Raw genomic sequence first — 10,837 nt, 5'->3', positions numbered from 1 at the left:
ACACTTTTTATCAGCCATCTATCTGAAAGCCGGGCCCATTCATCATCCAAGGCATTCTCCCTGAAAACAAGACCCATTCAGATTTTATACAAATTATCATATTTATCATCGTCTCCAACTCCGGAGTAACATCTCCGCAAAGTGTCTGCGGTCTCCCCGGGGAGCCGCGCAGCTCGGAGCGCCCGAGCGCCCGCCCGGCAATTCCCCCATCGAGCCCCCTCCCCTCGTCCCTTCCTCCCCGCCCCGCCCCCCACCTCGCGGGCCTCCTCTCTGGCCTTTGATCCACCGGCTCTGCTTCCCCCTCCGCTCTTCCCCACTCCCCCCTCCAACTTCCCATCAATCTCTCTCCTGCACTCTTTTCTCTCTCTCTCTCCCTCTCATCTCTCCCTCGCCTTTGATCTACTCTTGCTTCTTCCCCCTTCCCCCTCAGTTTTCTCTCTCTCTCCAGGTTTGGGTCTCCCTTCCTTCCCTATCTTTGTCTCCAGCTCTGCTTGTTTCTCTGGGTCTTTGCTGTCTTCCCACGGCCTCATCTTCTATTTCCCTGGCAGAACCAAAAAACCAGAGGCGCTATTTGGGACAGAGCAGCTTGAGCCTCCCCTCATGGACTGGGGAGGTGTTCCAAAGTGGGGTTCCCCAGGATCATTGGAGGGGTCACTTTGGGCCCAGTCCAAGAGTCTGAGGAAATTAAGTGGGGCCACAGGAGAGATGTGTACGTGCCCATCGCACACTACAGCTCACTGCCCTCAACACACCACACAGGCTCCCCATATACACAGTCACCTCACACCACACTCGCACCACACACACAACCCCTAATACACATGCAGCCCCCAACACACACAGCCCTTGATACAGGTTACCCCACAGCTCCCTAATCATACTCATGCAGCCCTCCTCATAGACACACAGCCCCCCTCAACACGGCACACAACCCACAATATGTACACAGTTCCCTACCACACACATAGCCCCCCAATATGTACAGACACACATAGGTGCAGGAAGATACATACATTCCCAACACACAGGTGTGCACATCTACAAACCGACCTCTCCTGTCCTCATATCTGGATTATCCACCCCATTCCCCTCAATCTCCATTTACTTCTCCTGCATTTCTCTTTCTCTTTCAGCACACACATACCCTTCAGATGAGAACATGCCAGGCACCACAGCTCCTGGAACAACTTGTGGCTTGAGTTTCCCTGGAACCAGCAAGATCTCAGCTGTCCCATCCAGCTCCTGGAAGAGCCCTCCTTGCTCTGCCCTGACCTTCAGAGGTCAATGAGGCTTCCCTAGGACAGGCCTGCAGACACTAGGACATTTCAGAAGGGGCTTTTATTCAGACTCTAAGGAGGGAATACCTCACAAAAAGGGATAACAGGGATGTTCAGAACACAGGTTCCTGACTCCAACAACCATCCATAAGTGACTGCTTCCTTTCTAGGCCTCAGTCCTGGGGGTGACCCTGCTGGCTTCCCTGGGAGCATCCAGTCTCCAATATTTTTTATTTTTATTTTTTTGAGCCGGGCCTCGCTCTGTCACCCAGGCTGGAGTGCAATGGTGCGATCTCAGCTCACTGCAACCTCCGCCTCCCGGATTCAAGTGATTCTTCTGCCTCGGCCTTCTGAGTAGCTGGGACTACAGGCACGTGCCATCACACATCACACCTGGCTAATTTTTAGTAGAGGGGTTTCATCATATTGGCCAGGCTGGTCTCAAACTCCTGACCTCGTGATTCACCCACCTCGGCCTCCCAAAGTGCTGGGATTACAGGCGTGAGCCACCGCACCCGGCCAGTCTCCAACGTTATACTGAAGTCCCCTTCGACTTCATCCCCCCACTTTCCCCAAAAAGGCTGCCTCAGTGGGCTACTGTGGAGGAGCCTATATTTGTGTCTCCTGCCGGTATTGGTTGGTTCATTCATTCATTCATCAGTTATTAATTCAAAAAACGTTACCGAGTGCCTTCTCTGTGCCGGCTCTTTGCCTGACATGAGAATTACAGTGATGGACAAGAGATACCCAGTCCCTACCTCTATGAAGATTACAGTCTGCAGCAGGGTGTCCAATAGAACTTTCTGTGATGGTGCAAGTGCTCTGTATCTTCACTGTTCAGTATGGTAGCCACCAGCCACATGTGGCTATTGAGCACTTAAAATGAAGCAAGTGTGACTGGGGAACTGATTTTTAATTTTATTAAATTAAATTATGTAGTATAATTGTGGCTAATGGCTACTGTATTGGCCAGCACAGATCTAGCCAGCAGATTAGTCTTCATTTTGTTAAATGAGACAGGATATATGTGAAAGAATTCCCTCTTCCTTCCAGAGCTGTGGAAGGTGCAGGTATGGGGCCTCTGAGTACTGGCACTTCTTGTTTGGATCACCAGTTTCCTACACACTCTAAGAATGCAACCCATCCACACATGCGTGACACATAAATCTGTGTCCCTAAAACAGGCTCATTTTCAAAACTGTAGATGAGTGATTTCTCATGCAAGAGTAATAATAGCATTTATTGAGTATTTATTTCATTCCAGGCACTATTTGCATATGTTCTCAGTCTTACCAGGGGCTCATGCATGCAGACGCCTGTAGGGGCAGGAGGAGTTGGGAAGACAACAGGGAGGGGGGTTCTAGAACAACTGGAAAGGAAAGGGTTCTTTAAAGGATGTAGTTCCTCAACTCTGGAGACTGTTGCCAAGCAGGAGTGGCAGTCAGTGATGCCAAGTTGTCTGACCTTTAAAGAGCAACCAAAAATATTGATTTGTATTTGAAATCCATTGGAAAGTACTTAATTTTTTTTAAAAGAAACAACCTAACTGGGCAGATGATCAAATGATGAATGTGAAAGGATAGTCATTGCAGCTTTATTTGCAAATTAGAAGTAATCAAAATGTTCACAGCTAGGAGCCTGCTTAAATGACTTATAATACATCTATTTAGGGGAATACTGGGCAGCCTTAACCAAGAGTGAAGTGACTTTTCACATATAAATATGGAAAGAGCTCAAGATAAATTAAGTTGATCTCTATGAGATGAGATCAACTTTATTTATCTTGGATTTCTTTCCATATATATATATATATATATATATATATATATATAGGCATGGGACAATGTGTAAGGTACCATTCATTAGAGAGAAAAAGAGAACACATACACATGCACCTGCATAGACTAGTTCTGGAAAGTGATTGCCTTAAGGAATGTGGCAGAGGTGGAAGGAAGACTGTTTTTCCCTGTATCCCCTTTGGTATGTTTTAACTTTTGCACTAACCACATGACTTACCTATTTACAGTGCAGGCTGAGCAAACCTGGCTAAAGGCCAGCTATGGCTTTTGAGCCACATGTGCATAAACTCTGATCCTCACAGGCTGTCCCTTTGAAGTAGGTGTTAAAGACTCCATTATACAGACGAGGAAGCCGAAGCTCATTTGGATTAAAGTGTGGCTGCTCAAGTTTATACAACTGGTTAACTAACTGGTTAGTGGTGAAGCTTCGATTTTAACCCAGGTCCCTCTAACTCACAGGCCAGAACACCACACTGCCTCTTCCTGGAAGAGGGGAGGAATCATGATGACAACAGCATCACTGCCATCAATGACAGTATTTATAGAGAACTTGTTACCTGCCAGGCACTGAGATAAATATTTCAGGTCACATTATGAACCTTATGAGTTAGACACCATTATTATCCCATTTTACCGATGAGGCAGCTGAGGCAGAGAGGTTAATGAGGCTGCCCAGAGTTACACTGGGCAGGAAGTGGTAGAGCTGAGAGCCTTATCTGGGTATTATAACTCCAAACTTACCTTGGTCCTTTAACCATTGCAATGCACATAGAGAACTCTATGTCCTTTTTTTGTATCCCACTGTGGGCTCATCCCCAAAATGCCCTGTCACACCTCTCTGGGGCCTGCCATGAGTGTACACTGATTTCTCTAGTGTGGACCTATGTACACATGTATTTGCCCAAACACACATGTGCAGCACCGCAGCAGATGCCCTTGGGGGACAGCCTTCCTGTGTCCTCTTCTGCAGTGAGGAGAAATGGATATCTAACCCCCAGCAATGCTCCTTCAGATTCCTTATGACCCTCCCTTCCTAATTATACCCTTGTGCTGCTGCATGTCCAAGAGCAACCAGAGTTGTCAAATGAGAGTTCTTGGCTCCAGGGTCCCAGGCATTAGCAATACCAAATGTTTGTAGAGAAAAATCTCTCTCTCTTTTTTGTTTTTTTCACTCTCGTCATCCAGGCTGGAGCGCAGTGGCACGATCTTGGCTCACTACAACCTCCACCTCCTGGGTTGAAGTGATTATCCTGACTCATCCTCCCAAGTAGCTGGGATTACAGGTGCCCACCACCACGCCTGGCTACTTTTTGTATTTTTAGTAGAGATGGGGTTTCACCATGTTGGCCAGGCTGGTCTTGAACTCTTGACCTCAGGTGATCTACCTGCCTCGGCCTCCCAAAGTGCTGGGATTACAGTCATCAGCCACCGTGCCCCGGCTGAGAAAAATCTCCTTTCATTATCTTAACACCCTGTAAGGAAAGAAGGACAAGATTAGTATTCCCCTTTTGTGGATGAGGCAGCTGTGGCTCACACATCACATCACATCACATCACACACAAACACAAACACACACGCACACACATACTTGTAAGAAATAAAAATCTATTGTGTCTTGGCAACATGGATGGAACTGGAGGACATTATGTTAAGTGAAATAAGCCAGGAACAAAAAGTTAAACATTGCGTGTTCTCCCTCACATGTGGAAGCTAAAAAAAGTTGATCTTATAGAAGTAAAAAGTAAAACAGAGGTTACTAGAAGCCGAAAGGGAGGGATTTGTTAAAGGATTCAAAATTCCAGATAGATAAGAGGAATAAGTTCTAGTGCTCTATAGCACTGCAGGATGACCATATTCACAATAATATATATTTTCAAGCAGCCAGAAGAGAGGATATTGAATGCTTCCAATGCAAAAAAAGATATATATTTGAGATGACAGATACACTAATTACCTTGATCTGGTCGCCATACATTGCATGTATATATCACTATTTACACCACAAATATGTACAATTATTATGTGTCAATTAAAAAAATAAAAAGAGCAAAACTACAATAAAAAAAGTATGTGTTGTGGAAATTAACTGAATCATTTCATTTTCTTATGTCAATGCCTCCAAGTCCCTGTCCCAATGAAGGAATCATGGGGGAATCATTTACACAGGGGCCCTAAGCTGGAAATGGAGGGAGACAGCAACAGAAGCAAAGAGGTAATGGAAGAACCACGGTCTTTGAGCAAGAACTCACCCCATTGGTGGCTTGGGTTCTATGGCTAAGAGCTAAGACTGTGACACAGTGTGGCTCAAGGTCTGGTGTAGCTTTCTGTGCATAAGGACATGTGTATACACCACTGGCTCTCAAGGCACCAAGTTCCTACACAAGTTTCCCTTCCATCACAACAACCTTGTCCTCCTGCCAAACCTGGTCAAAGAGCAAGTGAACATGAAGGCCCAAAGATTCTCAATCTGTCCCCCAACCCCCTCAGCCACAGGCCTAGATCCCTGGTACTAGCCCCAACCCTAAAGCATGAGTAAGGAAGGACAAGCAGGCAGATATTGAGGGGACATTCCCCTCCCCCACCCACTACATGTGTTGATGCTTAGGTTGGCAAAACACAGGCTCTGGCAGGATCTGGAATCTTGGAGGGTTGGGGGCAGCCAGAGGCAGTCTGAGATGTGGATGGCAAATCTGGCAACAGACTGACCAACCAGGCCTCCCCTAAGGCCTCAAGCATTACCTCTAAGAAATTTATTTAACACACACTTACAAGGTACTTGCTATGTACTCGACACTGTTCTAAGCACTTTAGACAAGTGTGTTAGTTTCCTATTGCTGCTGTAATAAGTTACCTAAAACTTAGTGGCTTCAAACAACACAGTTGTTATCATACCTTTCTTGAGTTCAGAAGTCTAAAATGGGTTGGCAGGGCTTTGTTCCTTCAGGGGGAGAATTTGTTTTTGTGCAGGCTAAAGCAACTCCTTCTTGGATGCTAATCTGCCACGTTGACTTCTGATTAACCCCAGTTCTGGAAAGGCCGCTAAGATTTCCAGTTTATCTATTGTTCTTTGTGTAAAAGCAGGTACTTACTACAAATTCTGCCCTTGTGTCAAACAACCTTGATATTATCATACTTCAGTTGTCCTATATATCCCTTCTGAATCATGCTTTCCTCATGGGCATATAAGCCCTGGGTCTGGGGGATAAAGGCACAGGGATCCACCATCTCCTCTCACTGCTGACTGAGATACTCACACGGCTTCTGTTCATAAGTCCCTATTAAGTGTTTTGTTCTAAGAAACTGGATTTGTTAGCCTCTCGTTTGCTTGTCCTCTCAACTTCCTCAGATTTGGGGGTAGGTTTGAATAGACCTGCCTACCGTGAAACAGTTTCTTTGCCTTTTCCGTAGTCTAGAAACTACCCACATTCCTTGGCTCATGACCACATCATTCCAATCTCTGCTTTCGATCTCACACCTCCTTTGACTCGGATATTCTTGTTTCCCTTATAAAGAATTTTTGTGATGACATTGGGCCCATCTGGATAATGCAGGATAATCTCAAGATTTTAAAATTAATCACAGCTGCAAAATCCCCTTTGCCATGAAGATAGCATATTCATAGGTTTTGGGGATTAGGATGTGGACATTTGGGGGGGGCAGCCATTATTCTTCTTACCACAGTAACTATTAACTCATCTAATCCTAATAATAACTCTATGAAGTAGGCACTATTACTATCCCCATCTTGCAAATAGGGAAGCTAAGAAGCCAGAGGCTAAGTTGTTTGCCCAAGGTCACAGGCTTAGCATATGACAAAGCTACAAGTAAGTCTATGAGCTTAACCACCACACCACAAGTATTCAGAAGCTGATAGAAACAAATGCTCTGTTTCTGCACCTGCAGACACCCTACATACTCAGACAACTCACACAATGTCTGTGTATTTTTTATACATATATACACATGCCTTGCACATATAGATATATTCTGCTCAAATACATATGTGCTACAGACACATGAATATATACAAAATACCTAGACACACATATCCACAAACATCCCCTCTGCTCACATACACTCACACTGTACACATATACACACGCCCTGCACACACATATACACATTTGTATATATTATCTCACACAACTCTATGCATAAATACATACTCTGTGGACACAACCAACATATTACATATTTATTTTTCTTTCTTTTTCTTTTTTATTATGGCCTGTGACACAGCCCTCAGGAGGTCCTGAGAACATGTGCCACCATATTATATTTTGATACTATTTAAACATCCTGTGTTCACAACCACATAATGCCCTCTAATATATACACCTTGCACACTCACACATACACACAGAATGAGGCAAACATATATCCTCTTTATAAACACACCTTGGAAAAAGATATGTAATATGCCTGCAATGGCATATATATCCTGTACATGAAAACACCATGCACACACATATATTCAGCAAATGTCTCTGCTATCTAGACACGTATCTTAACCACACTGAGATTCTGTGCATATGCACGTATATCCCACATAGAGACTCGCTTGGTATACGTACATATTATGAATACACACCCTTCATCTCAAAACACCATGCCCCGCATACCCTATTAACATACACCTTTACAAACCATGCATTATGTTCTCAAGTACTATGCACATACATACAGAGACCCCGGATACACATATCCAGCACACGCACACATACACACACAAGCTTTAATAGATGTCACGCACAAATCCTGCAATTATAGAAATGTATATCCTATTCGACAGGTCTAAATCCACGTTGAACTCTCTGCTTTAATCAGCGCTTCCCATGAAAGAAAACGTCGCAAGTAAGCAGCCCTGTCTGAGGTTCTGAAGGCTTCCTCAGGCATTCCCCAGCGCTGGACCGGGTTGTGCCCATTTTCCCGGGGAGGAGGCCGAGGCGGACGGGGGGCGCGGCTAGGCCGTGGCCGCCGACCCCGCCCCTCCCGCGGAAGAGGTGTGACCAGCCCCGGCGCGTATTCCTGTCTCCACAGAAAAGTAGTTCCAATCCCATGTTTGTTAACTAGGTTATCTAGGCTGTGGAAGGTTTTAATGTTGAATTTTATAGCTTTACCACGCTCTGCCGTCCTTGTGAATATTGTAATATTGCATTTTTTACAAGTTACTCTTCTGTTAATGTTCCAGCTAGTAACTTTTATAATCCTCCTCAATGAAATTTTTTTGTATTCTTCCGCACCGTTAACCCCAATGGCGGAGCCTCGGCCCCTGGCAGGAGGCAGATACGAGATGAATTCCTCTTTAATCAGAAATAATAATAATAAAAACACACACGCGGCTCCGCTGCCTCTCGCTCCGGCTTCCCTCACCGCCGCCGCCGCCTGTCAGGGCCGCCTGTGGACCCTGCGGCCTAGGCCCAGGGCGGCTGCCGACAGACGGCGCCGGCGGCGGCTGGGGCGGGGCTGGGCTTCGGGCAGCGGGGCGCCCTGGGCAGTCCCTCCCGGACGCCCCTGCTCCCGGAAGCCGAATCTCTTCTTGACCCAGCTCTTCAGCCTCGGGCGCACGTTGTCTCTCTCTCTCTCCTGTCCGTCTTCCTGCCTGCGTCCATCTGTCTGGGCCTCTTTGCGGCTGACGCGGCCATTCACTCTCTCTGGCCTGCCTTTATATCCGCCTCTTTCTACCCGACCCCACTTCGTTGGTCTCTGTCTCTGCCCTTCTCCACGCCTTTCTCTGTTGTGGATCTCCTTTTTTCATCTGTCTAGCTTTCCTTTTTTTCCACCTCTTTATCCTCCACATTTCCGGTCTCTACATCCTCCCCTCCTTTTTTCTTCCCAGAAGGCCCTAAGCCACTTGGGGTGGGGAATAGGGAGTCCCATGTGATGGGATGGTCCCTGGTGAGTGAAGTGGGCTATTGGACCAGGTTGTGGCTGGGCTGGGATTGGGGTACGTTTGGAACCGCTAGATTAGGGGAGCATAAGAGAGGGTGATAGTTCTGTGGCCATGCAAAGGGAAGAGGTCAGCTGGGGAGGGAGTGGTGACCAAGGGTTGGGGGTGAAGGTTAAGTCAGAGGGGGCCTAGCTTATGGGGCCCTGGCCAAAGGAGCCCTGGTTTAGTGTCAGACACACTCTTGCCCTGGGATTCCTTCTAACTAATAGGAAAGATCCACCATAGAGGTGGGTGGGGCAGTGGTGGGGTGGGGGCATGAAGGAGGCTGTTACCTAGAAAGAGGGCTGCAGTTGGGGAGGAGTGTCGATGTGATGGAGTGGTGTACCCATGCTTTTGTGCTGGGGTGAAGAGCCTGTCTTCATTGATAGTAGCACCAAAAAACATGTTCAAGATTACAGTAGACCTCACAAATGCCTTCATTCAGTCAACAAATATTTATTGAGCATCTACTATGTGCTAGGCCCTGTGCTAGACCCAAGGAACACAATGATGAGTGAAAATACAGTTCTTGACCTCATGGAACTTATGGACTAGTGGAGGTGACAGACATTAATTAATCACAAATGTATCTTTGCAAACTGGAATCACTGCTAAGGATTGCTGAACTGGGGAAGAATATATTTCTGGGGCTTTCAGGGATCCTACAGGGGCTGAGTGAGGGGGTAGTATATTGGACTCAGGTCCTGCTATGAGTTCCAGGGTCACATTCCTAGGCTTCTCACCTTCCTCCCAATATTCAAGCTCCCAAGAAGTGGGAGGGACTCCAGAGGGCTGAACTTCCCAACTGAAGTGAGATTTTATCAGCTTCTCTAAAAGACTCCATGCCACTAGATTTTCCTAGCAACTCCCAGATCTGACAGCTACAGGACTCTCCTTCCTCATCATGCTGAAGGGATGGCGATCCCAAACGTGAGAACAAAGGTGTCCAACATCTGGAAAGCGGAGCCCTAGCGCAGCCAAACATCTGGAGCGCTAATCGCAGGAGCCGCCAGCGGCCCTAGACGTGGGGTCCAGGAAGGGGATGGGGAGTGGGGGGGCTCAGCTATCCGGGCACTCGATGCTCCTGTCCTCGCGCCCCCCAATCTGGACCTGGCGGGGAATTTGCCTCAGCGCAATTCTGAGTGCCGTCGCCCCCCGCCCCCGCCAGTGCCCCTGCGTGTACCCCCACCAGCGGAGTCCCAGGCCCTGCTCCCCAGTCCCACCTCCGCTGCGGGCCAGGAGCGTGCAGGTGAGGGGGATAGTGTTAAACGGGGACCTGGGGAGGGGAGAGGAAGAAGAACCAGAGGGGGAGAAGAGGGGGCGGGCGGAGCGGGGGCGCCCGGCGCGCCTGTGCCGAGCGCGAAAGCTGCGAGCGCCCGCGACAGTAAAACATCTGTAATGTGCCATTCGCCGCTGCTCGCTGATTGCTCATGGATTAAAGATTAAAATCTCGGCTTTGGCAGATGGGGAGAGAGAGGAAACTCTTATGAGCACGTTTTGCATCTGCATTTCATTCTGCTCTGTTCCCCGCGCCACGCCTGGTGGCGTCCGCCCCACCCCGCCCACCCAGCTCCCAGCTCCCCCTGCGCGGCCAGGCTGGCCCGCACCCGTCGGGCCTGCGGACCTCTTCCCATCCTTCCTGTCGCTGCCAGCCCTGGGATCCTGGCCCCCTCGTCTCTTTCTCATCCGGAGTTCCCGCCTCTAATCTAGTGCTGGTCACTTCCCCGCTCCCTTCTAGACTCCAGGCAGGACGCGGGGAACCTCCCCAGAAACGGAGTACGCTCCATTCCAGGAGCTGGTGGGCCACCCACATGCCTACCCTGCTAAGCTGG

General features: G+C 47.9%; 1 annotated feature.

Annotated features, from left to right (window-relative positions):
- Positions 9,675-10,484: an enhancer, noted in NCBI's record as "H3K4me1 hESC enhancer chr10:102473509-102474318 (GRCh37/hg19 assembly coordinates)". NCBI's record gives its function as "activates a minimal SCP1, AML or CMV promoter by ChIP-STARR-seq in naive H9 embryonic stem cells {active_cell/tissue: H9 hESC(naive)}" and the evidence as "EXISTENCE:reporter gene assay evidence [ECO:0000049][PMID:30033119]".

This window comes from Homo sapiens, chromosome 10 (genome assembly GCF_000001405.40).
Source record: "Homo sapiens chromosome 10, GRCh38.p14 Primary Assembly".
Classification (NCBI taxonomy): domain Eukaryota; kingdom Metazoa; phylum Chordata; class Mammalia; order Primates; family Hominidae; genus Homo; species Homo sapiens.
Note: the sequence above shows the minus strand (reverse complement) of the source record. Positions and strands in the feature narration are given on the sequence as shown.